The sequence below is a fragment of the Homo sapiens genome, chromosome X, assembly GCF_000001405.40.
Source record: "Homo sapiens chromosome X, GRCh38.p14 Primary Assembly".
In the NCBI taxonomy this organism is placed as follows: Eukaryota; Metazoa; Chordata; class Mammalia; order Primates; family Hominidae; genus Homo; species Homo sapiens.
This window is the reverse complement of record NC_000023.11, coordinates 62479252-62505282: the sequence shown is the minus strand read 5'-3', so window position 1 is coordinate 62505282 and position 26031 is coordinate 62479252. Positions and strand designations below refer to the sequence as shown.

General features: G+C 40.5%; 21 annotated features.

Annotated features, from left to right (window-relative positions):
- Positions 1820-2522: an enhancer, noted in NCBI's record as "OCT4-NANOG-H3K27ac-H3K4me1 hESC enhancer chrX:61722231-61722933 (GRCh37/hg19 assembly coordinates)". NCBI's record gives its function as "activates a minimal SCP1, AML or CMV promoter by ChIP-STARR-seq in naive and primed H9 embryonic stem cells {active_cell/tissue: H9 hESC(naive and primed)}" and the evidence as "EXISTENCE:reporter gene assay evidence [ECO:0000049][PMID:30033119]".
- Positions 2523-3225: an enhancer, noted in NCBI's record as "OCT4-NANOG-H3K27ac-H3K4me1 hESC enhancer chrX:61721528-61722230 (GRCh37/hg19 assembly coordinates)". NCBI's record gives its function as "activates a minimal SCP1, AML or CMV promoter by ChIP-STARR-seq in naive and primed H9 embryonic stem cells {active_cell/tissue: H9 hESC(naive and primed)}" and the evidence as "EXISTENCE:reporter gene assay evidence [ECO:0000049][PMID:30033119]".
- Positions 3226-3927: an enhancer, noted in NCBI's record as "OCT4-NANOG-H3K27ac-H3K4me1 hESC enhancer chrX:61720826-61721527 (GRCh37/hg19 assembly coordinates)". NCBI's record gives its function as "activates a minimal SCP1, AML or CMV promoter by ChIP-STARR-seq in naive and primed H9 embryonic stem cells {active_cell/tissue: H9 hESC(naive and primed)}" and the evidence as "EXISTENCE:reporter gene assay evidence [ECO:0000049][PMID:30033119]".
- Positions 3928-4630: an enhancer, noted in NCBI's record as "OCT4-NANOG-H3K27ac-H3K4me1 hESC enhancer chrX:61720123-61720825 (GRCh37/hg19 assembly coordinates)". NCBI's record gives its function as "activates a minimal SCP1, AML or CMV promoter by ChIP-STARR-seq in naive and primed H9 embryonic stem cells {active_cell/tissue: H9 hESC(naive and primed)}" and the evidence as "EXISTENCE:reporter gene assay evidence [ECO:0000049][PMID:30033119]".
- Positions 4631-5333: an enhancer, noted in NCBI's record as "OCT4-NANOG-H3K27ac-H3K4me1 hESC enhancer chrX:61719420-61720122 (GRCh37/hg19 assembly coordinates)". NCBI's record gives its function as "activates a minimal SCP1, AML or CMV promoter by ChIP-STARR-seq in naive and primed H9 embryonic stem cells {active_cell/tissue: H9 hESC(naive and primed)}" and the evidence as "EXISTENCE:reporter gene assay evidence [ECO:0000049][PMID:30033119]".
- Positions 5334-6037: an enhancer, noted in NCBI's record as "OCT4-NANOG-H3K27ac-H3K4me1 hESC enhancer chrX:61718716-61719419 (GRCh37/hg19 assembly coordinates)". NCBI's record gives its function as "activates a minimal SCP1, AML or CMV promoter by ChIP-STARR-seq in naive and primed H9 embryonic stem cells {active_cell/tissue: H9 hESC(naive and primed)}" and the evidence as "EXISTENCE:reporter gene assay evidence [ECO:0000049][PMID:30033119]".
- Positions 6038-6739: an enhancer, noted in NCBI's record as "OCT4-NANOG-H3K27ac-H3K4me1 hESC enhancer chrX:61718014-61718715 (GRCh37/hg19 assembly coordinates)". NCBI's record gives its function as "activates a minimal SCP1, AML or CMV promoter by ChIP-STARR-seq in primed H9 embryonic stem cells {active_cell/tissue: H9 hESC(primed)}" and the evidence as "EXISTENCE:reporter gene assay evidence [ECO:0000049][PMID:30033119]".
- Positions 6740-7442: an enhancer, noted in NCBI's record as "OCT4-NANOG-H3K27ac-H3K4me1 hESC enhancer chrX:61717311-61718013 (GRCh37/hg19 assembly coordinates)". NCBI's record gives its function as "activates a minimal SCP1, AML or CMV promoter by ChIP-STARR-seq in naive H9 embryonic stem cells {active_cell/tissue: H9 hESC(naive)}" and the evidence as "EXISTENCE:reporter gene assay evidence [ECO:0000049][PMID:30033119]".
- Positions 9551-10254: an enhancer, noted in NCBI's record as "OCT4-NANOG-H3K27ac-H3K4me1 hESC enhancer chrX:61714499-61715202 (GRCh37/hg19 assembly coordinates)". NCBI's record gives its function as "activates a minimal SCP1, AML or CMV promoter by ChIP-STARR-seq in primed H9 embryonic stem cells {active_cell/tissue: H9 hESC(primed)}" and the evidence as "EXISTENCE:reporter gene assay evidence [ECO:0000049][PMID:30033119]".
- Positions 10255-10957: an enhancer, noted in NCBI's record as "OCT4-NANOG-H3K27ac-H3K4me1 hESC enhancer chrX:61713796-61714498 (GRCh37/hg19 assembly coordinates)". NCBI's record gives its function as "activates a minimal SCP1, AML or CMV promoter by ChIP-STARR-seq in naive and primed H9 embryonic stem cells {active_cell/tissue: H9 hESC(naive and primed)}" and the evidence as "EXISTENCE:reporter gene assay evidence [ECO:0000049][PMID:30033119]".
- Positions 10958-11661: an enhancer, noted in NCBI's record as "OCT4-NANOG-H3K27ac-H3K4me1 hESC enhancer chrX:61713092-61713795 (GRCh37/hg19 assembly coordinates)". NCBI's record gives its function as "activates a minimal SCP1, AML or CMV promoter by ChIP-STARR-seq in naive H9 embryonic stem cells {active_cell/tissue: H9 hESC(naive)}" and the evidence as "EXISTENCE:reporter gene assay evidence [ECO:0000049][PMID:30033119]".
- Positions 11773-12738: an enhancer, noted in NCBI's record as "OCT4-NANOG-H3K27ac-H3K4me1 hESC enhancer chrX:61712015-61712980 (GRCh37/hg19 assembly coordinates)". NCBI's record gives its function as "activates a minimal SCP1, AML or CMV promoter by ChIP-STARR-seq in naive and primed H9 embryonic stem cells {active_cell/tissue: H9 hESC(naive and primed)}" and the evidence as "EXISTENCE:reporter gene assay evidence [ECO:0000049][PMID:30033119]".
- Positions 12739-13706: an enhancer, noted in NCBI's record as "OCT4-NANOG-H3K27ac-H3K4me1 hESC enhancer chrX:61711047-61712014 (GRCh37/hg19 assembly coordinates)". NCBI's record gives its function as "activates a minimal SCP1, AML or CMV promoter by ChIP-STARR-seq in naive and primed H9 embryonic stem cells {active_cell/tissue: H9 hESC(naive and primed)}" and the evidence as "EXISTENCE:reporter gene assay evidence [ECO:0000049][PMID:30033119]".
- Positions 13707-14674: an enhancer, noted in NCBI's record as "OCT4-NANOG-H3K27ac-H3K4me1 hESC enhancer chrX:61710079-61711046 (GRCh37/hg19 assembly coordinates)". NCBI's record gives its function as "activates a minimal SCP1, AML or CMV promoter by ChIP-STARR-seq in primed H9 embryonic stem cells {active_cell/tissue: H9 hESC(primed)}" and the evidence as "EXISTENCE:reporter gene assay evidence [ECO:0000049][PMID:30033119]".
- Positions 15643-16608: an enhancer, noted in NCBI's record as "OCT4-NANOG-H3K27ac-H3K4me1 hESC enhancer chrX:61708145-61709110 (GRCh37/hg19 assembly coordinates)". NCBI's record gives its function as "activates a minimal SCP1, AML or CMV promoter by ChIP-STARR-seq in primed H9 embryonic stem cells {active_cell/tissue: H9 hESC(primed)}" and the evidence as "EXISTENCE:reporter gene assay evidence [ECO:0000049][PMID:30033119]".
- Positions 16609-17576: an enhancer, noted in NCBI's record as "OCT4-NANOG-H3K27ac-H3K4me1 hESC enhancer chrX:61707177-61708144 (GRCh37/hg19 assembly coordinates)". NCBI's record gives its function as "activates a minimal SCP1, AML or CMV promoter by ChIP-STARR-seq in primed H9 embryonic stem cells {active_cell/tissue: H9 hESC(primed)}" and the evidence as "EXISTENCE:reporter gene assay evidence [ECO:0000049][PMID:30033119]".
- Positions 19513-20478: an enhancer, noted in NCBI's record as "OCT4-NANOG-H3K27ac-H3K4me1 hESC enhancer chrX:61704275-61705240 (GRCh37/hg19 assembly coordinates)". NCBI's record gives its function as "activates a minimal SCP1, AML or CMV promoter by ChIP-STARR-seq in primed H9 embryonic stem cells {active_cell/tissue: H9 hESC(primed)}" and the evidence as "EXISTENCE:reporter gene assay evidence [ECO:0000049][PMID:30033119]".
- Positions 20479-21446: an enhancer, noted in NCBI's record as "OCT4-NANOG-H3K27ac-H3K4me1 hESC enhancer chrX:61703307-61704274 (GRCh37/hg19 assembly coordinates)". NCBI's record gives its function as "activates a minimal SCP1, AML or CMV promoter by ChIP-STARR-seq in naive H9 embryonic stem cells {active_cell/tissue: H9 hESC(naive)}" and the evidence as "EXISTENCE:reporter gene assay evidence [ECO:0000049][PMID:30033119]".
- Positions 21447-22414: an enhancer, noted in NCBI's record as "OCT4-NANOG-H3K27ac-H3K4me1 hESC enhancer chrX:61702339-61703306 (GRCh37/hg19 assembly coordinates)". NCBI's record gives its function as "activates a minimal SCP1, AML or CMV promoter by ChIP-STARR-seq in naive H9 embryonic stem cells {active_cell/tissue: H9 hESC(naive)}" and the evidence as "EXISTENCE:reporter gene assay evidence [ECO:0000049][PMID:30033119]".
- Positions 22415-23382: an enhancer, noted in NCBI's record as "OCT4-NANOG-H3K27ac-H3K4me1 hESC enhancer chrX:61701371-61702338 (GRCh37/hg19 assembly coordinates)". NCBI's record gives its function as "activates a minimal SCP1, AML or CMV promoter by ChIP-STARR-seq in primed H9 embryonic stem cells {active_cell/tissue: H9 hESC(primed)}" and the evidence as "EXISTENCE:reporter gene assay evidence [ECO:0000049][PMID:30033119]".
- Positions 23383-24350: an enhancer, noted in NCBI's record as "OCT4-NANOG-H3K27ac-H3K4me1 hESC enhancer chrX:61700403-61701370 (GRCh37/hg19 assembly coordinates)". NCBI's record gives its function as "activates a minimal SCP1, AML or CMV promoter by ChIP-STARR-seq in primed H9 embryonic stem cells {active_cell/tissue: H9 hESC(primed)}" and the evidence as "EXISTENCE:reporter gene assay evidence [ECO:0000049][PMID:30033119]".

Genomic DNA, 26031 nt, shown 5'->3' with positions numbered 1-26031 from the left:
CTTTTAGTAGAATCTGCAAGTGGATATTTGGACCTCTCTGAGGATTTCGTTGGAAATGGGAAAGACTTCCCATGACTAAACACAAACATTCTGAGAAAGTTCTTCATGATGAATGCATTTAACTCACAGTGATGAACCTTCCTTTGAGAGTTCAGGTTTGAAAGACTCTTTCTGTAAAATCTGCAAGTGGATATTTGAACCACTGGGTGGCCTTCGTTCGAAACGGGTATATGTTCACGTAAAAACTAAGGAGAAGCATTCTCAGAAACTTCTGTGTGATGATTGCATTCAAGTCACACAGTTGAACCCTCCTTTTGATTGAGCAGTTTTGAATCTGTCTTTTTGTAGAATCTGTAAGTGGATATGTGGACCTCTTTGAAGATTTCTTTGGAAATGGGAATATCTCCACAGAAAAACTAAACTGAAGCATTCTCAGAAACTGATTTGTGATGTTTGTGTTCGAGCCACAGAGTTTAACATTGCTTTTCATAGAGCAGTTTTGAAACATTCTGTTCGCAGAATCTGCAAGTGGACATTTGGAGCGCTTTCAGGCCTGTGGTGGAAAAGGTCTGAAAGCCTTTTCCTTTATCTTCACATAAAGACGAGAGAGAAGCATTGCCAGAAACTTCTTTGTGATGATTGCATTCAACTCACAGAGTTGAAGATTCCTTTTGAAACAGCAGTTTCGAAACACTCTTTCTGTGGGATCCACAAGGGGATATTTGGAACTCTTTGAAGATTTCGTTGGAAACGGGATAATCTCACCTAAAAGCTAAACGGAAGCATTCTCAGAAACTTCTTTGGGATGTTTGCATTCACCTCACAGAGTTGAACTTTGCCTTTGATAGTGCAGCTTTGACACACTTTTTCAACAATGTGCAAGTGGATATTTAGCGGGTTTGGAGGACTGTGTTGGAAAAGGAAATATCTTCTCCTAAAAACGACATAGAAGCATTCTCAGAAACTGCTCTGTGATGATTGCGTTCAACCCCCAGAGTTGAACATTCCTTTTGATAGAGCAGTTTGCAAACACTCTTTTTGTAGAATCTGCAAGTGGAGATTTGGACTGCTTTGAGGCCTGTGGTAGTAAAGGAAAGAACTTCATATAAAAACTAGACGGTAGCACTCTCAGAAAATTCTTTGTGACGATAGAGTTTAACTCAGAGAGCTGAACATTCGTTATGATGGAGCAGTTTCCAAACACACATTTTGTAGAATCTGCAAAGGGATATTTGGACCTCTCTGAGGATTTCGTTGGAAATGGGATCAACTTCCCATAACTGAACGGAAGCAAACTCAGAAAATTCTTTGTGATGTTTGTATTCAACTCACAGAGTTGAACCTTCCTTTGATAGTTCAGGTTTGCAACACCCTTGTAGTAGAATCTGCAAGTGTATATTTTGACCACTTTGTAGCCTTCGTTTGAAACGTCTATATCTTCACATGAAACCTAGACAGAAGCATTCTCAGAAAGTTTTCTGTGATGACTGCATTCAACTCACAGATTGGAACAATCCTTTTGATGGAGCAGTTTTGAAACCCTCTTTCTTTGGAATCTGCAAGTGGTATGTGGAACTCCTTGAAGATTTCACTGGAAACGGGATCATCTTCACATAAAAACTAAACAGAAGCATTCTCGGAAACTACTTTGTGATGTTTGTATTCAACTCCCAGAGTTGAACTTTCCTTTTGAAAGAGCAGCTATGAAACACTCTTTTTCGAGAATCTGCAAGTGGACGTTTGGAGGGCTTTGAGGCCTGTGGTGGAAAAGGAAATATCTTCACATAAAAACTAGATAGAAGCATTCTCAGAAACGACTTTGCGAGGATGGCATTCAACTCATGGAGTTGAACAATCCTATTGATAGAGCAGATTGGAATCACTCTTTTTGTAGAATCTGCAAATGGAGATTTGGACTGCTTTGAGGCCTACGGTAGTATAGGAAGGAACTTCATATAAAAGGCAAACGGAAGCATTCTCAGAATATTCTTTGTGATGATGGAGTTTCACTCACAGAGCTGAACATGCCTTTTGATGGAGCAGTTTCCAAATACACTTTTGGTAGAATCTGCAGGTGGATATTTGGACCTCTCTGAGGATTTCGTTGGAAACGGGAATAATTTCCCATAACTAAACTCAAACACGCTGAGAACGTTCTTCATGATGAATGCATTTAACTCACAGAGATGAACCTTCCTTTGAGAGTTCAGGTTCGAAACACTCTTTCTGTAGAATCTGCAAGTGGATATTTGGACCACTGGGTGGCCTTCTTTCGAAACAGGTATATGTTCACGTAAAAACTAAAGAGAAGCATTCTCAGAAACTTCTGAGTGACGACTGCATTCAAGACACACAGTTGAACCCTCCTTTTGATTGAGCAGTTTTGAAATTGTCTTTTTGTAGAATCTGTAAGTGGATACGTGGACCTCTTTGAAGATTTCTTTGGAAACGGGAATCTTTCCACAGAAAAACTAAACTGAAGCATTCTCAGAAACTGCTTTGTGATGTTTGTGTTCGAGCCACAGAGTTTAACATTGCTTTTCATAGAGCAGTTTTGAAATATTCTTTTCGCAGAATCTACAAGTGGACATTTGGAGCGCTTTCAGGCCTGTGGTGGAAAAGGCCTGAAAGCCTTTTCCTTTATCTTCACAGAAAGACAAGAGAGAAGCATTGTCAGAAACTTCTTTGTGATTTTTGCATTCAACTCACAGAGTTGAAGATTCCTTTTGAAACAGCAGTTTCGAAACACTCTTTCTGTGGGATCCGCAAGGGGATATTTGGACCTCTTTGAAGATTTCGTTGGAAACGGGATAATCTTCACCTAAAAGCTAAACGGAAGCATTCTCAGAAACTTCTTTGGGATGTTTGCATTCACCTCACAGAGTTGAACTTTCCCTCTGATAGCGCAGCTTTGATACATTTTTTCTACAATGTGCAAGTCGTATTTACCGGGCTTGGAGGACTGTGTTGGAAAAGGAAATATCTTCTCCTAAAAACGACATAGAAGCATTCTCAGAAACTGCTCTGTGATGATTGCATTCAACTCCCAGAGTTGAACATTCCTTTTGATAGAGCAGTTTGCAAACACTCTTTTTGTAGAATCTGCAAGTGGAGATTTGGACCGCTTTGAGGCCTGTGGTAGTAAAGGAAAGAACTTCGTATGAAAACTAGATGGTAGCACTCTCAGAAAATTCTTTGGGACGATGGAGTTTAACTCAGAGAGCTGAACATTCGTTATGATGGAGCAGTTTCCAAACACACGTTTTGTAGAATCTGCAAGGGGATATTTGGACCTCTCCGAGGATTTCGTTGGAAACGGGATCAACTTCCCGTAACTGAACGGAAGCAAACTCAGAACATTCTTTGTGATGTTTGTATTCAACTCACAGAGTTGAACCTTCCTTTGATAGTTCAGGTTTGCAACACCCTTGTAGTAGAATCTGCAAGTGTATATTTTGACCACTTTGTAGCCTTCGTTTGAAACGTCTATATCTTCACATCAAACCTAGACAGAAGCATTCTCAGAAAGTTTGCTGTGATGACTGCATTCAACTCACAGAGTTGAACAATCCTTTTGATGGAGCAGTTTTGAAACCATCTTTCTTTGGAATCTGCAAGGGGATATGTGGACCTCTTTGAAGAATTCACTGGAAACGGGATCATCTTCACATAAAAACTAAACAGAAGATTCTCAGAAACTACTTTGTGATGTTTGTATTCAACTCCCAGAGTTGAACTTTCCTTTTGAAAGAGCAGCTATGAAACACTCTTTTTCGAGAATCTGCAAGTGGACATTTGGAGGGCTTTGAGGCCTGTGGTGGAAAAGGAAATATCTTCACATAAAAACTAGATAGAAGCATTCTCAGAAACGACTTTGTGAGGATGGCATTCAACTCATGGAGCTGAACAATCCTATTGATAGAGCAGATTGGAATCACTCTTTTTGTAGAATCTGCAAATGGAGATTTGGACTGCTTTGAGGCCTACGGTAGTATAGGAAGGAACTTCATATAAAAGGCAAACGGAAGCATTCTCAGAATATTCTTTGTGATGATGGAGTTTCACTCACAGAGCTGAACATGCCTTTTGATGGAGCTGTTTCCAAATACACTTTTGGTAGAATCTGCAGGTGGATATTTGGAGCTCTCTGAGGATTCCGTTGGAAACGGGAATAATTTCCCATAACTAAACACAAACACTCTGAGAAAGTTCTTCATGATGAATGCATTTAACTCGCAGAGATGAACCTGCCTTTGATAGTTCAGGTTCGAAACACTCTTTCTGTAGAATCTGCAAGTGGATATTTGGACCAATGGGTGGCCTTCGTTCGAAACGGGTATATGTTCACGTAAAAACTAAAGAGAAGCATTCTCAGAAACTTCTGAGTGATGATTGCATTCAAGTCACACAGTTGAACCCTCCTTTTGATTGAGCAGTTTTGAAACTGTCTTTTTTTAGAATCTGTAAGTGGATACGTGGACCTCCTGGAAGATTTCTTTGGAAACGGGAATATTTCCACAGAAAAACTAAACTGAAGCATTCTCGGAAACTGCTTTGTGATGTTTGTGTTCGAGCCACAGAGTTTAACATTGCTTCTCAAAGAGCAGTTTTGAAATATTCTTTTCACAGAATCTGCAAGTGGACATTTGGAGCCCTTTCAGGCCTGTGGTGGAAAAGGCCTGAAAGCCTTTTCCTTTATCTTCACAGAAAGACCAGAGAGAAGCATTGTCAGAAACTTCTTTGTGATGATTGCATTCAACTCACAGAGTTGAAGATTCCTTTTGAAACAGCAGTTTCGAAACACTCTTTCTGTGGGATCCGCAATGGGATATTTGGACCTCTTTGAAGGATTTCGTTGGAAACGGGATAATCTTCACCTAAAAGCTAAACGGAAGCATTCTCAGAAACTTCTTTGGGATGTTTGCATTCACCTCACAGAGTTGAACTTTCCCTTTGATAGCGCAGCTTTGACACACTTTTTCTACAATGTGCAAGTGGATATTTAGCGGGCTTGGAGGACTGTGTTGGAAAAGGAAATATCTTCTCCTAAAAACGACATAGAAGCATTCTCAGAAACTGCTCTGTCATGATTGCATTCCACTCCCAGAGTTGAACATTCCTTTTGATAGAGCAGTTTGCAAACACTCTTTTTGTAGAATCTGCAAGTGGAGATTTGGACCGCTTTGAGGCCTGTGGTAGTAAAGGAAAGAACTTCATATAAAAACCAGACGGTAGCACTCTCAGAAAATTCTTTGTGACGATGGAGTTTAACTCAGAGAGCTGAACATTCGTTATGATGGAGCAGTTTCCAAACACACGTTTTGTAGTATCTGCAAGGGGATATTTGGACCTCTCTGAGGATTTCGTTGGAAACGGGATCAACTTCCCATAACTGAACGGAAGCAAACTCAGAACATTCTTTGTGATGTTTGTATTCAACTCACAGAGTTGAACCTTCCTTTGATAGTTCAGGTTTCAACACCGTTGTAGTGGAATCTGCAAGTGTATATTTTGACCACTTTGTAGCCTTCGTTTGAAACGTCTATATCTTCACATCAAACTTAGACAGAAGCATTCTCAGAAAGTTTTGTGCGATGACTGCATTCAACTCACAGAGTTGAACAATCCTTTTGATGGAGCAGTTTTGAAACCCTCTTTCTTTGGAATCTGCAAGGGGATATGTGGACCTCTTTGAAGATTTCACTGGAAACGGGATCATCTTCACATAAAAACTAAACAGAAGCATTCTCGGAAACTACTTTGTGATGTTTGTATTCAACTCCCAGAGTTGAACTTTCCTTTTGAAAGAGCAGCTATGAAACACTCTTTTTCGAGAATCTGCAAGTGGACTTTTGGAGGGCTTTGAGGCCTGTGGTGGAAAAGGAAATATCTTCACATAAAAACTAGATAGAAGCATTCTCAGAAACGACTTTGTGAGGATGGCATTCAACTCATGGAGTTGAACAATCCTATTGATAGAGCAGATTGGAATCACTCTTTTTGTAGAATCTGCAAATGGAGATTTGGACTGCTTTGAGGCCTACGGTAGTACAGGAAGGAACTTCATATAAAAGGCAAACGGAAGCATTCTCAGAATATTCTTTGTGATGATGGAGTTTCACTCACAGAGCTGAACATGCCTTTTGATGGAGCAGTCTCCAAATACACTTTTGGTAGAATCTGCAGGTGGATATTTGGACATCTCTGAGGATTTCGTTGGAAACGGGAATAATTTCCCATAACTAAACACAAACACTCTGAGAAAGTTCTTCATGATGAATGCATTTAACTCGCAGAGATGAACCTGCCTTTGAGAGTTCAGGTTCGAAACACCCTTTCTGTAGAATCTGCAAGTGGATATTTGGACCACTGGCTGGCCTTCGTTCGAAACGGGTATATGTTCACGTAAAAACTAAAGAGAAGCATTCTCAGAAACTTCTGAGTGATGATTGCATTCAAGTCACACGGTTGATCCCTCCTTTTGATTGAGCAGTTTTGAAACTGTCTTTTTGTAGAATCTGTAAGTGGATACGTGGACCTGTTTGAAGATTTCTTTGGAAACGGGAATATTTCCACAGAAAAACTAAACTGAAGCATTCTCAGAAACTGCTTTGTGATGTTTGTGTTCGAGCCAGAGAGTTTAACATTGCTTCTCATAGAGCAGTTCTGAAATATTCTTTTCGCAGAATCTGCAAGTGGACATTTGGAGCGCTTTCAGGCCTGTGGTGGAAAAGGCCTGAAAGCCTTTTCCTTTATCTTCACAGAAAGACGAGAGAGAAGCATTGTCAGAAACTTCTTTGTGATGATTGCATTCAACTCACAGAGTTGAAGATTCCTTTTGAAACAGCAGTTTCGAAACACTCTTTCTGTGGGATCCGCAAGGGGATATTTGGACCTCTTTGAAGGTTTCGTTGGAAACGGGATAATCTTCACCTAAAAGCTAAACGGAAGCACTCTCAGAAACTTCTTTGGGATGCTTGCATTCACCTCACAGAGTTGAACTTTCCCTTTGATAGCACAGCTTTGAAACACTTTTTCTACCATCTGCAAGTGGATATTTAGCGGGCTTGGAGGACTGTGGTGGAAAAGGAAATATCTTCTCCTAAAAACCACATAGAAGCATTCTCAGAAACTGCTCTGTGATGATTGCATTCAACTCCCAGAGTTGAACATTCCTCTTGATAGAGCAGTTTGCAAACACTCTTTTTGTAGAATCTGCAAGTGGAGATTTGGACCGCTTTGAGGCCTGTGGTAGTAAAGGAAAGAACTTCATATAAAAACTAGACGGTAGCACTCTCAGAAAATTCTTTGTGACGATGGAGTTTAACTCAGAGAGCTGAACATTCGTTATGATGGAGCAGTTTCCAAACACACGTTTTGTAGAATCTGCAAGGGGATATTTGGACCTCTCTGAGGATTTCGTTGGAAACGGGATCAACTTCCCATAACTGAACGGAAGCAAACTCAGAACATTCTTTGTGATGTTTCTATTCAACTCACAGAGTTGAACCTTCCTTTGATAGTTCAGGTTGGCAACACCCTTGTAGTAGAATCTGCAAGTGTATATTTTGACCACTTTGTAGCCTTCGTTTGAAACGTCTATATCTTCACATCAAACCTAGACAGAAGCATTCTCAGAACGTTTTCTGCGATGACTGCATTCAACTCACAGATTTGAGCAATCCTTTTGATGGAGCAGTCTTGAAACCCTCTTTCTTTGGAATCTGCAAGGGGATATGTGGACCTCTTTGAAGATTTCACTGGAAATGGGATCATCTTCACATAAAAACTAAACAGAAGCATTCTCGGAAACTACTATGTGATGTTTGTATTCAACTCCCAGAGTTGAACTTTCCTTTTGAAAGAGTAGCTATGAAACACTCTTTTTCGAGAATCTGCAAGTGGACGTTTGGAGGGCTTTGAGGCCTGTGGTGGAAAAGGAAATATCTTCACATAAAAGCTAGACAGAAGCATTCTCAGAAACGACTTTGTGAGGATGGCATTCAACTCATGGAGTTGAACAATCCTATTGATAGAGCAGATTGGAATCACTCTTTTTGTAGAATCTGCAAATGGAGATTTGGACTGCTTTGAGGCCTACGGTAGTACAGGAAGGAACTTCATATAAAAGGCAAACGGAAGCATTCTCAGAATATTCTTTGTGATGATTTAGTTTCACTCACAGAGCTGAACATGCCTTTTGATGGAGCAGTTTCCAAATACACTTTTGTTAGAATCTGCAGGAGAATATTTGGACCTCTCTGAGGATTTCGTTGGAAACGGGAATAATTTCCCATAACTAAACACAAACACTCTGAGAAAGTTCTTCATGATGAATGCATTGAACTCGCAGAGATGAACCTGTCTTTGAGTGTTCAGGTTCGAAACACCCTTTCTGTAGAATCTGCAAGTGGATATTTGGACCACTGGGTGGCCTTCGTTCGAAACGGGTATATGTTCACGTAAAAACTAAAGAGAAGCATTCTCAGAAACTTCTGAGTGATGATTGCATTCAAGTCACACGGTTGAACCCTCCTTTTGATTGAGCAGTTTTGAAACTGTCTTTTTGTAGAATCTGTAAGTGGATACGTGGACCTGTTTGAAGATTTCTTTGGAAACGGGAATATTTCCACAGAAAAACTAAACTGAAGCATTCTCAGAAACTGCTTTGTGATGTTTGTGTTCGAGCCACAGAGTTTAACATTGCTTCTCATAGAGCAGTTTTGAAATATTCTTTTCGCAGAATCTGCAAGTGGACATTTGGAGCGCTTTCAGGCCTGTGGTGGAAAAGGCCTGAAAGCCTTTTCCTTTATCTTCACAGAAAGACGAGAGAGAAGCATTGTCAGAAACTTCTTTGTGATGATTGCATTCAACTCACAGAGTTGAAGATTCCTTTTGAAACAGAAGTTTCGAAACACTCTTTCTGTGGGATCCGCAAGGGGATATTTGGACCTCTTTGAAGATTTCGTTGGAAACGGGATAATCTTCACCTAAAAGCTAAACGGAAGCATTCTCAGAAACTTCTTTGGGATGTTTGCATTCACCTCACAGAGTTGTACTTTCCCTTTGATAGCGCAGCTTTGACACACTTTTTCTACAATGTGCAAGTGGATTTTTAGCGGGCTTGGAGGAATGTGGTGGAAAAGGAAATATCTTCTCCTAAAAACCACATAGAAGCATTCTCAGAAACTGCTCTGTGATGATTGCATTCAACTCCCAGAGTTGAACATTCCTTTTGATAGAGCAGTTTGCAAACACTCTTTTTGTAGAATCTGCAAGTGGAGATTTGGACCGCTTTGAGGCCTGTGGTAGTAAAGGAAAGAACTTCCTATAAAAACTAGACGGTAGCACTCTCAGAAAATTCTTTGTGACGATGGAGTTTAACTCAGAGAGCTGAACATTCGTTATGATGGAGCAGTTTCCAAACACACGTTTTGTAGAATCTGCAAGGGGATATTTGGACCTCTCTGCAGATTTCGTTGGAAACGGGATCAACTTCCCATAACTGAACGGAAGCAAACTCAGAACATTCTTTGTGATGTTTGTATTCAACTCACAGGGTTGAACCTTCCTTTGATAGTTCAGGTTGGCAACACCCTTGTAGTAGAATCTGCAAGTGTATATTTTGACCACTTTGTAGCCTTCGTTTGAAAAGTCTATATCTTCACATCAAACCTAGACAGAAGCATTCTCAGAAAGTTTTCTGCGATGACTGCATTCAACTCACAGAGTTGAACAATCCTTTTGATGGAGCAGTTTTGAAACCCTCTTTCTTTGGAATCTGCAAGGGGATATGTGGACCTCTTTGAAGATTTCACTGGAAACGGGATCATCTTCACATAAAAACTAAACAGAAGCATTCTCGGAAACTACTTTGTGATGTTTGTATTCAACTCCCAGAGTTGAACTTTCCTTTTGAAAGAGCAGCTTTGAAACACTCTTTTTCGAGAATCTGCAAGTGGACGTTTGGAGGGCTTTGAGGCCTGTGGTGGAAAAGGAAATATCTTCACATAAAAACTAGAAAGAAGCATTCTCAGAAACGACTTTGTGAGGATGGCATTCAACTCATGGAGTTGAACAATCCTATTGATAGAGGAGATTGGAATCATTCTTTTTGTAGAATCCGCAAATGGAGATTTGGACTGCTTTGAGGCCTACGGTAGTACAGGAAGGAACTTCATATAAAAGGCAAACGGAAGCATTCTCAGAATATTCTTTGTGATGATGGAGTTTCACTCACAGAGCTGAACATGCCTTTTGATGAAGCAGTTGCCAAATACACTTTTGGTAGAATCTGCAGGTGGATATTTGGACCTCTCTGAGGATTTCGTTGGAAACGGGAATAATTTCCCATAACTAAACACAAACACTCTGAGAAAGATCTTCATGATGAATGCATTTAACTCGCAGAGATGAACCTGTCTTTGAGAGTTCAGGTTCGAAACACCCTTTCTGTAGAATCTGCAAGTGGATATTTGGACCACTGGGTGGCCTTCGTTCGAAACGGGTATATGTTCACGTAAAAACTAAAGAGAAGCATTCTCAGAAACTTCTGAGTGATGATTGCATTCAAGTCACACGGTTGAACCCTCCTTTTGATTGAGCAGTTTTGAAACTGTCTTTTTGTAGAATCTGTAAGTGGATACGTGGACCTCTTTGAAGATTTCTTTGGAAACGGGAATAATTCCACAGAAAAACTAGACTGAAGCATTCTCAGAAACTGCTTTGTGATGTTTGTGTTCGAGCCACAGAGTTTAACATTGCTTCTCATAGAGCAGTTTTGAAATATTCTTTTCGCAGAATCTGCAAGTGGACATTTGGAGCGCTTTCAGGCCTGTGGTGGAAAAGGCCTGAAAGCCTTTTCCTTTATCTTCACAGAAAGACGAGAGAGAAGCATTGTCAGAAACTTCTTTGTGATGATTGCATTCAACTCACAGAGTTGAAGATTCCTTTTGAAACAGCAGTTTCGAAACACTCTTTCTGTGGGATCCGCAAGGGGATATTTGGACCTCTTTGAAGATTTCGTTGGAAACGGGATAATCTTCACCTAAAAGCTAAACGGAAGCATTCTCAGAAACTTCTTTGGGATGTTTGCATTCACCTCACAGAGTTGAACTTTCCCTTTGATAGCGCAGCTTCGACACACTTTTTCTACAATGTGCAAGTGGATATTTAGCGGGCTTGGAGGACTGTGGTGGAAAGGGAAATATCTTCTCCTAAAAACCACATAGAAGCATTCTGAGAAACTGCTCTGTGATGATTGCATTCAACTCCCAGAGTTGAACATTCCTTTTGATAGAGCAGTTTGCAAACACTCTTTTTGTAGAATCTGCAAGTGGAGATTTGGACCGCTTTGAGGCCTGTGGTAGTAAAGGAAAGAACTTCATATAAAAACTAGACGGTAGCACTCTCAGAAAATTCTTTGTGACGATGGAGTTTAACTCAGAGAGCTGAACATTCGTTATGATGGAGCAGTTTCCAAACACACGTTTTGTAGAATCTGCAAGGGGATATTTGGACCTCTCTGAGGATTTCGTTGGAAAAGGGATCAACTTCCCATAACTGAACGGAAGCAAACTCAGAACATTCTTTGTGATGTTTCTATTCAACTCACAGAGTTGAACCTTCCTTTGATAGTTCAGGTTGGCAACACCCTTGTAGTAGAATCTGCAAGTGAATATTTTGACCACTTTGTAGCCTTCGTTTGAAACGTCTATATCTTCACATCAAACCTAGACAGAATCATTCTCAGAACGTTTTCTGCGATGACTGCATTCAACTCACAGATTTGAGCAATCCTTTTGATGGAGCAGTCTTGAAACCCTCTTTCTTTGGAATCTGCAAGGGGATATGTGGACTTCTTTGAAGATTTCACTGGAAATGGGATCATCTTCACATAAAAACTAAACAGAAGCATTCTCGGAAACTACTTTGTGAGGTTTGTATTCAACTCCCAGAGTTGAACTTTCCTTTTGAAAGAGTAGCTATGAAACACTCTTTTTCGAGAATCTGCAAGTGGACGTTTGGAGGGCTTTGAGGCCTGTGGTGGAAAAGGAAATATCTTCACATAAAAACTAGATAGAAGCATTCTCAGAAACTACTTTGTGAGGATGGCATTCAACTCATGGAGTTGAACAATCCTATTGATAGAGCAGATTGGAATCACTCTTTTTGTAGAATCTGCAAATGGAGATTTGGACTGCTTTGAGGCCTACGGTAGTATAGGAAGGAACTTCATATAAAAGGCAAACGGAAGCATTCTCAGAATATTCTTTGTGATGATGGAGTTTCACTCACAGAGCTGAACATGCCTTTTGATGGAGCAGTTTCCAAATACACTTTTGGTAGAATCTGCCGGTGGATATTTGGACCTCTCTGAGGATTTCGTTGGAAACGGGAATAATTTCCCATAACTAAACACAAACACTCTGAGAAAGTTCTTCATGATGAATGCATTGAACTCGCAGAGATGAACCTGCCTTTGAGAGTTCAGGTTCGAAACACTCTTTCTGTAGAATCTGCAAGTGGATATTTGGACCACTGGGTGGCCTTCGTTCGAAACGGGTATATGTTCACGTAAAAACTAAAGAGAAGCATTCTCAGAATCTTCTGAGTGATGATTGCTTTCAAGTCACACAGTTGAACCCTCCTTTTGATTGAGCAGTTTTGAAACTGTCTTTTTGTAGAATCTGTAAGTGGATACGTGGACCTCTTTGAAGATTTCTTTGGAAACGGGAATATTTCCACAGAAAAACTAAACTGAAGTATTCTCAGAAACTGCTTTGTGATGTTTGTGTTCGAGCCACAGAGTTTAACATTGCTTTTCATAGAGCAGTTTTGTAATATTCTTTTCGCAGAATCTGCAAGCGGATATTTGGAGCGCTTTCAGGCCTGTGGTGGAAAAGGCCTGAAAGCCTTTTCCTTTATCTTCACAGAAAGACGAGAGAGAAGCATTGTCAGAAACTTCTTTGTGATGATTGCATTCAACTCACAGAGTTGAAGATTCCTTTTGAAACAGCAGTTTCGAAACACTCTTTCTGTGGGATCCGCAAGGGGATATTTGGACCTCTTTGAAGATTTCGTTGGAAACGGGATAATCTTCACCTAAAACCTAAGCGGAAGCATTCTCAGAAACTTCTTTGGGATGTTTGCATTCACCTCACAGAGTTGAACTTTCCCTTTGATAGCGCAGCTTCGACACACTTTTTCTACAATGTGCAAGTGGATATTTAGCGGGCTTGGAGGACTGTGGTGGAAAAGGAAATATCTTCTCCTAAAAACCACATAGAAGCATTCTCAGAAACTGCTCTGTGATGATTGCATTCAACTCCCAGAGTTGAACATTCCTTTTGATAGAGCAGTTTGCAAACACTCTTTTTGTAGAATCTGCAAGTGGAGATTTGGACCGCTTTGAGGCCTGTGGTAGTAAAGGAAAGAACTTCATATAAAAACCAGACGGTAGCACTCTCAGAAAATTCTTTGTGACGATGGAGTTTAACTCAGAGAGCTGAACATTCGTTATGATGGAGCAGTTTCCAAACACACGTTTTGTAGAATCTGCAAGGGGATATTCGGACCTCTCTGAGGATTTCGTTGGAAACGGGATCAACGTCCCATAACTGAACGGAAGCAAACTCAGAACATTCTTTGTGATGTTTGTATTCAACTCACAGAGTTGAACCTTCCTTTGATAGTTCAGGTTTGCAACACCCTTGTAGTAGAATCTGCAAGTGTATATTTTGACCACTTTGTAGCCTTCGTTTGAAACGTCTATATCTTCACATCAAACCTAGACAGAAGCATTCTCAGAAAGTTTTCTGCGATGACTGCATTCAACTCACAGAGTTGAACAATCCTTTCGCTGGAGCAGTTTTGAAACCCTCTTTCTTTGGAATCTGCAAGGGCATATGTGGACCTCTTTGAAGATTTCACTGGAAACGGGATCATCTTCACATAAAAACTAAACAGAAGCATTCTCGGAAACTACTTTGTGATGTTTGTATTCAACTCCCAGAGTTGAACTTTCCTTTTGAAAGAGCAGCTATGAAACACTCTTTTTCGAGAATCTGCAAGTGGACGTTTGGAGGGCTTTGAGGCCTGTGGTGGAAAAGGAAATATCTTCACATAAAAACTAGATAGAAGCATTCTCAGAAACTACTTTGTGACGATGGCATTCAACTCATGGAGTTGAACAATCCTATTGATAGAGCAGATTGGAATCACTCTTTTTGTAGAATCTGCAAATGGAGATTTGGACTGCTTTGAGGCCTACGGTAGTATAGGAAGGAACTTCATATAAAAGGCAAACGGAAGCATTCTCAGAATATTCTTTGTCATGATGGAGTTTCACTCACAGAGCTGAACATGCCTTTTGATGGAGCAGTTTCCAAATACACTTTTGGTAGAATCTGCCGGTGGATATTTGGACCTCTCTGAGGATTTCGTTGGAAACGGGAATAATTTCCCATAACTAAACACAAACACTCTGAGAAAGTTCTTCATGATGAATGCATTGAACTCGCAGAGATGAACCTGCCTTTGAGAGTTCAGGTTCGAAACACTCTTTCTGTAGAATCTGCAAGTGGATATTTGGACCACTGGCTGGCCTTCGTTCGAAACGGGTATATGTTCACGTAAAAACTAAAGAGAAGCATTCTCAGAATCTTCTGAGTGATGATTGCTTTCAAGTCACACAGTTGAACCCTCCTTTTGATTGAGCAGTTTTGAAACTGTCTTTTTGTAGAATCTGTAAGTGGATACGTGGACCTCTTGGAAGATTTCTTTGGAAACGGGAATATTTCCACAGAAAAACTAAACTGAAGTATTCTCAGAAACTGCTTTGTGATGTTGGTGTTCGAGCCACAGAGTTTAACATTGCTTTTCATAGAGCAGTTTTGAAATATTCTTTTCGCAGAATCTGCAAGTGGACATTTGGAGCGCTTTCAGGCCTGTGGTGGAAAAGGCCTGAAAGCCTTTTCCTTTATCTTCACAGAAAGACGAGAGAGAAGCATTGTCAGAAACTTCTTTGTGATGATTGCATTCAACTCACAGAGTTGAAGATTCCTTTTGAAACAGCAGTTTCGAAACACTCTTTCTGTGGGATCCGCAAGGGGATATTTGGACCTCTTTGAAGATTTCGTTGGAAACGGGATAATCTTCACCTGAAAGCTAAACGGAAGCATTCTCAGAAACTTCTTTGGGATGTTTGCATTCACCTCACAGAGTTGAACTTTCCCTTTGATAGCGCAGCTTCGACACACTTTTTCTACAATGTGCAAGTGGATATTTAGCGGGCTTGGAGGACTGTGGTGGAAAAGGAAATATCTTCTCCTAAAAACCACATAGAAGCATTCTCAGAAACTGCTCTGTGATGATTGCATTCAACTCCCAGAGTTGAACATTCCTTTTGATAGAGCAGTTTGCAAACACTCTTTTTGTAGAATCTGCAAGTGGAGATTTGGACCGCTTTGAGGCCTGTGGTAGTAAAGGAAACAACTTCATATAAAAACTAGACGGTAGCACTCTCAGAAAATTCTTTGTGACGATGGAGTTTAACTCAGAGAGCTGAACATTCGTTATGATGGAGCAGTTTCCAAACACACGTTTTGCAGAATCTGCAAGGGGATATTTGGACCTCTCTGAGGATTTCGTTGGAAACGGGATCAACTTCCCATAACTGAACGGAAGCAAACTCAGAACATTCTTTGTGATGTTTGTATTCAACTCACAGAGTTGAAACTTCCTTTGATAGTTCAGGTTTGCAACACCCTTGTAGTAGAATCTGCAAGTGTATATTTTGACCACTTTGTAGCCTTCGTTTGAAACGTCTATATCTTCATATCAAACCTAGACAGAAGCATTCTCAGAAAGTTTTCTGCGATGACTGCATTCAACTCACAGAGTTGAACAATCCTTTTGATGGAGCAGTTTTGAAACCCTCTTTCTTTGGAATCTGCAAGGGGATATGTGGACCTCTTTGAAGATTTCACTGGAAACGGGATCATCTTCACATAAGAAGTAAACAGAAGCATTCTCGGAAACTACTTTGTGATGTTTGTATTCAAATCACAGATTTGAACTTTCCTTTTGAAAGAGCAGCTACGAAACACTCTTTTTCGAGAATCTGCAAGCGGACGTTTGGAGGGCTTTGAGGCCTGTGGTGGAAAAGGAAATATCTTCACATAAAAACTAGATAGAAGCATTCTCAGAAAAGACTTTGTGAGGATGGCATTCAACTCATGGAGTTGAACAATCCTATTGATAGAGCAGATTGGAATCACTCTTTTTGTAGAATCTGCAAATGGAGATTTGGACTGCTTTGAGGCCTACGGTAGTATAGGAAGGAACTTCATCTAAAAGGCAAACGGAAGCATTCTCAGAATATTCTTTGTGATGATGGAGTTTCACTCACATAGCTGAACATGCCTTTTGATGGAGCAGTTTCCAAATACACTTTTGGTAGAATCTGCAGGTGGATATTTGGACCTCTCGGAGGATTTCGTTGGAAAAGGGAATAATTTTCCATAACTAAACACAAACACTCTGAGAAAGTTCTTCATGATGAATGCATTTAACTCGCAGAGATGAACCTGCATTTGAGAGTTCAGGTTCGAAACACTCTTTCTGTAGAATCTGCAAGTGGATATTTGGACCACTGGGTGGCCTTCGTTCAAAACGGGTATATGTTCACGTAAAAACTAAAGAGAAGCATTCTCAGAAACATCTGAGTGATGATTGCATTCAAGTCACACAGTTGAACCCGCCTTTTGATGGAGCAGTTTTGAAACTGTCTTTTTGTAGAATCTGTAAGTGGATACGTGGACCTCTTGGAAGATTTCTTTGGAAACGGGAATATTTCCACAGAAAAACCAAACTGAAGCAGTCTCAGAAACGGCTTTGTGATGTTGGTGTTCGAGCCGCAGAGTTTAACATTGCTTTTCATAGAGCAGTTTTGAAATATTCTTTTGGCAGAATCTGCAAGTGGACATTTGGAGCGCTTTCAGGCCTGTGGTGGAAAAGGCCTGAAAGCCTTTTCCTTTATCTTCACAGAAAGACGAGAGAGAAGCATTGTCAGAAACTTCTTTGTGATGATTGCATTCAACTCACAGAGTTGAAGATTCCTCTTGAAACAGCAGTTTCGAAACACACTTTCTGTGGGATCCGCAAGGGGATATTTGGACCTCTTTGAAGATTTCGTTGGAAACGGGATAATCTTCACCTGAAAGCTAAACGGAAGCATTCTCAGAAACTTCTTTGGGATGTTTGCATTCACCTCACAGAGTTGAACTTTCCCTTTGATAGCGCAGCTTCGACACACTTTTTCTACAATGCGCAAGTGGATATTTAGCGGGCTTGGAGGACTGTGTTGGAAAAGGAAATATCTTCTCCTAAAAACGACATAGAAGCATTCTCAGAAACTGCTCTGTGATGATTGCATTCAACTCCCAGAGTTGAACATTCCTTTTGATAGAGCAGTTTGCAAACACTCTTTTTGTAGAATCTGCAAGTGGAGATATGGACCGCTTTGAGGGCTGTGGTAGTAAAGGAAAGAACTTCATATAAAAACTAGACGGTAGCACTCTCAGAAAAAACTTTGTGACGATGGAGTTTAACTCAGAGAGCTGAACATTCGTTATGATGGAGCAGTTCCCAAACACACGTTTTGCAGAATCTGCAAGGGGATATTTGGACCTCTCTGAGGATTTCGTTGGAAACGGGATCAACTTCCCATAACTGAACGGAAGCAAACTCAGAACATTCTTTGTGATGTTTGTATTCAACTCACAGAGTTGAACCTTCCTTTGATAGTTCAGGTTTGCAACACCCTTGTAGTAGAATCTGCAAGTGTATATTTTGACCACTTTGTAGCCTTCGTTTGAAACGTCTATATCTTCACATCAAACCTAGACAGAAGCATTCTCAGAAAGTTTTCTGCGATGACTGCATACAACTCATAGAGTTGAGTAATCCTTTTGATGGAGCAGTTTTGAAACCCTCTTTCTTTGGAATCTGCAAGGGGATATGTGGACCTCTTTCAAGATTTCACTGGAAACGGGATCATCTTCACATAAGAACTAAACAGAAGCATTCTCGGAAACTACTTTGTGATGTTTGTATTCAACTCCCAGAGTTGAACTTTCCTTTTGAAAGAGCAGCTATGAAACACTCTTTTTCGAGAATCTGCAAGTGGACGTTTGGAGGGCTTTGAGGCCTGTGGTGGAAAAGGAAATATCTTCACATAAAAACTAGATAGAAGCATTCTCAGAAACGACTTTGTGAGGATGGCATTCAACTCATGGAGTTGAACAATCCTATTGATAGAGCAGATTGGAATCACTCTTTTTGTAGAATCTGCAAAGGGAGATTTGGACTGCTTTGAGGCCTACGGTAGTATAGGAAGGAACTTCATATAAAAGGCAAACGGACGCATTCTCAGAATATTCTTTGTGATGATGGAGTTTCACTCACAGAGCTGAACATGCCTTTTGATGGAGCAGTTTCCAAATACACTTTTGGTAGAATCTGCAGGTGGATATTTGGACCTGTCGGAGGATTTCGTTGGAAACGGGAATAATTTCCCATAACTAAACACAAACACTCTGAGAAAGTTCTTCATGATGAATGCATTTAACTCGCAGAGATGAACCTGCCTTTGAGAGTTCAGGTTCGAAACACTCTTTCTGTAGAATCTGCAAGTGGATATTTGGACCACTGGCTGGCCTTCGTTCGAAACGGGTATATGTTCACGTAAAAACTAAAGAGAAGCATTCTCAGAAACTTCTGAGTGATGATTGCATTCAAGTCACACAGTTGAACCCGCCTTTTGATTGAGCAGTTTTGAAACTGTCTTTTTGTAGAATCTGTAAGTGGATACGTGGACCTCTTGGAAGATTTCCTTGGAAACGGGAATATTTCCACAGAAAAACTAAACTGAAGCATTCTCAGAAACTGCTTTGTGATGTTGGTGTTCGAGCCACAGAGTTTAACATTGCTTTTCATAGAGCAGTTTTGAAATATTCTTTTGGCAGAATCTGCAAGTGGACATTTGGAGCGCTTTCAGGCCTGTGGTGGAAAAGGCCTGAAAGCCTTTTCCTTTATCTTCACAGAAAGACGAGAGAGAAGCATTGTCAGAAACTTCTTTGTGATGATTGCATTCAACTCACAGAGTTGAAGATTCCTTTTGAAACAGCAGTTTCAAAACACTCTTTCTGTGGGATCCGCAAGGGGATATTTGGACCTCTTTGAAGATTTCGTTGGAAACGGGATAATCTTCACCTGAAAGCTAAACGGAAGCATTCTCAGAAACTTCTTTGGGATGTTTGCATTCACCTCACAGAGTTGAACTTTCCCTTTGATAGCGCAGCTTCGACACACTTTTTCTACAATGCGCAAGTGGATATTTAGCGGGCTTGGAGGACTGTGTTGGAAAAGGAAATATCTTCTCCTAAAAACGACATAGAAGGATTCTCAGAAACTGCTCTGTGATGATTGCATTCAACTCCCAGAGTTGAACATTCCTTTTGATAGAGCAGTTTGCAAACACTCTTTTTGTAGAATCTGCAAGTGGAGATTTGGACCGCTTTGAGGCCTGTGGTAGTAAAGGAAAGAACTTCATATAAAAAGTAGATGGTAGCACTCTCAGAAAATTCTTTGTGACGATGGAGTTTAACTCAGAGAGCTGAACATTCGTTATGATGGAGCAGTTTCCAAACACACGTTTTGCAGAATCTGCAAGGGGATATTTGGACCTCTCTGAGGATTTCGTTGGAAACGGGATCAACTTCCCATAACTGAACGGAAGCAAACTCAGAACATTCTTTGTGATGTTTGTATTCAACTCACAGAGTTGAACCTTCCTTTGATAGTTCAGGTTTGCAACACCCTTGTAGTAGAATCTGCAAGTGTATATTTTGACCACTTTGTAGCCTTCGTTTGAAACGTCTATATCTTCACATCAAACCTAGACAGAAGCATTCTCAGAAAGTTTTCTGCGATGACTGCATTCAACTCACAGAGTTGAGCAATCCTTTTGATGGAGCAGTTTTGAAACCCTCTTTCTTTGGAATCTGCAAGGGGATATGTGGACCTCTTTCAAGATTTCACTGGAAACGGGATCATCTTCACTTAAGAACTAAACAGAAGCATTCTCGGAAACTACTTTGTGATGTTTGTATTCAACTCCCAGAGTTGAACTTTCCTTTTGAAAGAGCAGCTATGAAACACTCTTTTTCGAGAATCTGCAAGCGGACGTTTGGAGGGCTTTGAGGCCTGCGGTGGAAAAGGAAATATCTTCCCATAAAAACTAGATAGAAGCATTCTCAGAAACGACTTTGTGAGGATGGCATTCAACTCATGGAGTTGAACAATCCTATTGATAGAGCAGATTGGAATCACTCTTTTTGTAGAATCTGCAAATGGAGATTTGGACTGCTTTGAGGCCTACGGTAGTATAGGAAGGAACTTCATATAAAAGGCAAACGGAAGCATTCTCAGAATATTCTTTGTCATGATGGAGTTTCACTCACAGAGCTGAACATGCCTTTTGATGGAGCAGTTTCCAAATACACTTTTGGTAGAATCTGCAGGTGGATATTTGGACCTGTCGGAGGATTTCGTTGGAAACGGGAATAATTTCCCATAACTAAACACAAACACTCTGAGAAAGTTCTTCATGATGAATGCATTTAACTCGCAGAGATGAACCTGCCTTTGAGAGTTCAGGTTCGAAACACTCTTTCTGTAGAATCTGCAAGTGGATATTTGGACCACTGGCTGGCCTTCGTTCGAAACGGGTATATGTTCACGTAAAAACTAAAGAGAAGCATTCTCAGAAACTTCTGAGTGATGATTGCATTCAAGTCACACAGTTGAACCCGCCTTTTGATTGAGCAGTTTTGAAACTGTCTTTTTGTAGAATCTGTAAGTGGATACGTGGACCTCTTGGAAGATTTCTTTGGAAACGGGAATATTTCCACAGAAAAACTAAACTGAAGCATTCTCAGAAACTGCTTTGTGATGTTGGTGTTCGAGCCGCAGAGTTTAACATTGCTTTTCATAGAGCAGTTTTGAAATATTCTTTTGGCAGAATCTGCAAGTGGACATTTGGAGCGCTTTCAGGCCTGTGGTGGAAAAGGCCTGAAAGCCTTTTCCTTTATCTTCACAGAAAGACGAGAGAGAAGCATTGTCAGAAACTTCTTTGTGATGATTGCATTCAACTCACAGAGTTGTAGATTCCTTTTGAAACAGCAGTTTCGAAACACTCTTTCTGTGTGATCCGCAAGGGGATATTTGGACCTCTTTGAAGATTTCGTTGGAAACGGGATAATCTTCACCTAAAAGCTAAACGGAAGCATTCTCAGAAACTTCTTTGGGATTTTGCATTCACCTCACAGAGTTGAACTTTCCCTTTGATAGCGCAGCTTCGACACACTTTTTCTACAATGTGCAAGTGGATATTTAGCGGGCTTGGAGGACTGTGGTGGAAAAGGAAATATCTTCTCCTAAAAACGACATAGAAGCATTCTCAGGAACTGCTCTGTGATGATTGCATTCAACTCCCAGAGTTGAACATACCTTTTGATAGAGCAGTTTGCAAACACTCTTTTTGTACAATCTGCAAGTGGAGATTTGGACCGCTTTGAGGCCTGTGGTAGTAAAGGAAAGAACTTCATATAAAAACTAGACGGTAGCACTCTCAGAAAATTCTTTGTGACGATGGAGTTTAACTCAGAGAGCTGAACATTCGTTATGATGGAGCAGTTTCCAAACACACGTTTTGCAGAATCTGCAAGGGGATATTTGGACCTCTCTGAGGATTTCGTTGGAAACGGGATCAACTTCCCATAACTGAACGGAAGCAAACTCAGAACATTCTTTGTGATGTTTGTATTCAACTCACAGAGTTGAACCTTCCTTTGATAGTTCAGGTTTGCAACACCCTTGTAGTAGAATCTGCAAGTGTATATTTTGACCACTTTGTAGCCTTCGTTTGAAACGTCTATATCTTCACATCAAACCTAGACAGAAGCATTCTCAGAAAGTTTTCTGCGATGACTGCATTCTACTCACAGAGTTGAGCAATCCTTTTGATGGAGCAGTTTTGAAACCCACTTTCTTTGGAATCTGCAAGGGCATATGTGGACCTCTTTGAAGATTTCACTGGAAACGGGATCATCTTCACATAAGAACTAAACAGAAGCATTCTCGGAAACTACTTTGTGATGTTTGTATTCAACTCCCAGAGTTGAACTTTCCTTTTGAAAGAGCAGCTATGAAACACTCTTTTTCGAGAATCTGCAAGTGGATGTTTGGAGGGCTTTGAGGCCTGTGGTGGAAAAGGAAATATCTTCACATAAAAACTAGATAGAAGCATTCTCAGAAACGACTTTGTGAGGAAGGCATTCAACTCATGGAGTTGAACAATCCTATTGATAGAGCAGATTGGAATCACTCTTTTTGTAGAATCTGCAAATGGAGATTTGGACTGCTTTGAGGCCTACGGTAGTATAGGAAGGAACTTCATATAAAAGGCAAACGGAAGCATTCTCAGAATATTCTTTGTGATGATGGAGTTTCACTCACAGAGCTGAACATGCCTTTTGATGGAGCAGTTTCCAAATACACTTTTGGTAGAATCTGCAGGTGGATATTTGGACCTCTCGGAGGATTTCGTTGGAAACGGGAATAATTTCCCATAACTAAACACAAACACTCTGAGAAAGTTCTTCATGATGAATGCATTTAACTCGCAGAGATGAACCTGCCTTTGAGAGTTCAGGTTCCAAACACTCTTTCTGTAGAATCTGCAAGTGGATATTTGGACCACTGGGTGGCCTTCGTTCGAAACGGGTATATGTTCACGTAAAAACTAAAGAGAAGCATTCTCAGAAACTTCTGAGTGATGATTGCATTCAAGTCACACAGTTGAACCCGCCTTTTGATTGAGCAGCTTTGAAACTGTCTTTTTGTAGAATCTGTAAGTGGATACGTGGACCTCTTTGAAGATTTCTTTGGAAATGGGAATATTTCCACAGAAAAACTAAACTGAAGCATTCTCAGAAACTGCGTTGTGATGTTGGTGTTCGAGCCGCAGAGTTTAACATTGCTTTTCATAGAGCAGTTTTGAAATATTCTTTTGGCAGAATCTGCAAGTGGACATTTGGAGCGCTTTCAGGCCTGTGGTGGAAAAGGCCTGAAAGCCTTTTCCTTTATCTTCACAGAAAGACGAGAGAGAAGCATTGTCAGAAACTTCTTTGTGATGATTGCAGTCAACTCACAGAGTTGTAGATTCCTTTTGAAACAGCAGTTTCGAAACACTCTTTCTGTGGGATCCGCAAGGGGATATTTGGACCTCTTTGAAGATTTCGTTGGAAACGGGATAATCTTCACCTAAAAGCTAAACGGAAGCATTCTCAGAAACTTCTTTGGGATGTTTGCATTCACCTCACAGAGTTGAACTTTCCCTTTGATAGCGCAGCTTCGACACACTTTTTCTACAATGTGCAAGTGGATATTTAGTGGGCTTGGAGGACTGTGGTGGAAAAGGAAATATCTTCTCCTAAAAACGACATAGAAGCATTCTCAGGAACTGCTCTGTGATGATTGCATTCAACTCCCAGAGTTGAACATTCCTTTTGATAGAGCAGTTTGCAAACACTCTTTTTGTAGAATCTGCAAGTGGAGATTTGGACCGCTTTGAGGCCTGTGGTAGTAAAGGAAAGAACTTCATATAAAAACTAGACGGTAGCACTCTCAGAAAATTCTTTGTGACGATGGAGTTTAACTCAGAGAGCTGAACATTCGTTATGATGGAGCAGTTTCCAAACACACGTTTTGCAGAATCTGCAAGGGGATATTTGGACCTCTCTGAGGATTTCGTTGCAAACGGGATCAACTTCCCATAACTGAACGGAAGCAAACTCAGAACATTCTTTGTGATGTTTGTATTCAACTCACAGAGTTGAACCTTCCTTTGATAGTTCAGGTTTGCAACACCCTTGTAGTAGAATCTGCAAGTGTATATTTTGACCACTTTGTAGCCTTCGTTTGAAACGTCTATATCTTCACATCAAACCTAGACAGAAGCATTCTCAGAAAGTTTTCTGCGATGACTGCATTCAACTCACAGAGTTGAACAATCCTTTTGATGGAGCAGTTTTGAAACCCTCTTTCTTTGGAATCTGCAAGGGGATATGTGGACCTCTTTGAAGATTTCACTGGAAACGGGATCATCTTCACATAAGAACTAAACAGAAGCATTCTCGGAAACTACTTTGTGATGTTTGTATTCAACTCCCAGAGTTGAACTTTCCTTTTGAAAGAGCAGCTATGAAACACTCTTTTTCGAGAATCTGCAAGTGGATGTTTGGAGGGCTTTGAGTCCTGTGGTGGAAAAGGAAATATCTTCACATAAAAACTAGATAGAAGCATTCTCAGAAACGACTTTGTGAGGAAGGCATTCAACTCATGGAGTTGAACAATCCTATTGATAGAGCAGATTGGAATCACTCTTGTTGTAGAATCTGCAAATGGAGATTTGGACTGCTTTGAGGCCTACGGTAGTATAGGAAGGAACTTCATATAAAAGGCAAACGGAAGCATTCTCAGAATATTCTTTGTGATGATGGAGTTTCACTCACAGAGCTGAACATGCCTTTTGATGGAGCAGTTTCCAAATACACTTTTGGTAGAATCTGCAGGTGGATATTTGGACCTCTCGGAGGATTTCGTTGGAAACGGGAATAATTTCCCATAACTAAACACAAACACTCTGAGAAAGTTCTTCATGATGAATGCATTTAACTCGCAGAGATGAACCTGCCTTTGAGAGTTCAGGTTCCAAACACTCTTTCTGTAGAATCTGCAAGTGGATATTTGGACCACTGGGTGGCCTTCGTTCGAAACGGGTATATGTTCACGTAAAAACTAAAGAGAAGCATTCTCAGAAACTTCTGAGTGATGATTGCATTCAAGTCACACAGTTGAACCCGCCTTTTGATTGAGCAGTTTTGAAACTGTCTTTTTGTAGAATCTGTAAGTGGATACGTGGACCTCTTTGAAGATTTCTTTGGAAATGGGAATATTTCCACAGAAAAACTAAACTGAAGCATTCTCAGAAACTGCGTTGTGATGTTGGTGTTCGAGCCGCAGAGTTTAACATTGCTTTTCATAGAGCAGTTTTGAAATATTCTTTTGGCAGAATCTGCAAGTGGACATTTGGAGCGCTTTCAGGCCTGTGGTGGAAAAGGCCTGAAAGCCTTTTCCTTTATCTTCACAGAAAGACGAGAGAGAAGCATTGTCAGAAACTTCTTTGTGATGATTGCATTCAACTCACAGAGTTGAAGATTCCTTTTGAAACAGCAGTTTCGAAACACTCTTTCTGTGGGATCCGCAAGGGGATATTTGGACCTCTTTGAAGATTTCGTTGGAAACGGGATAATCTTCACCTAAAAGCTAAACGGAAGCATTCTCAGAAACTTCTTTGGGATGTTTGCATTCACCTCACAGAGTTGAACTTTCCCTTTGATAGCGCAGCTTCGACACACTTTTTCTACAATGTGCAAGTGGATATTTAGCGGGCTTGGAGGACTGTGTTGGAAAAGGAAATATCTTCTCCTAAAAACGACATAGAAGCATTCTCAGGAACTGCTCTGTGATGATTGCATTCAACTCCCAGAGTTGAACATTCCTTTTGATAGAGCAGTTTGCAAACACTCTTTTTGTAGAATCTGCAAGTGGAGATTTGGACCGCTTTGAGGCCTGTGGTAGTAAAGGAAAGAACTTCATATAAAAACTAGACGGTAGCACTCTCAGAAAATTCTTTGTGACGATGGAGTTTAACTCAGAGAGCTGAACATTCGTTATGATGGAGCAGTTTCCAAACACACGTTTTGCAGAATCTGCAAGGGGATATTTGGACCTCTCTGAGGATTTCGTTGCAAACGGGATCAACTTCCCATAACTGAACGGAAGCAAACTCAGAACATTCTTTGTGATGTTTGTATTCAACTCACAGAGTTGAACCTTCCTTTG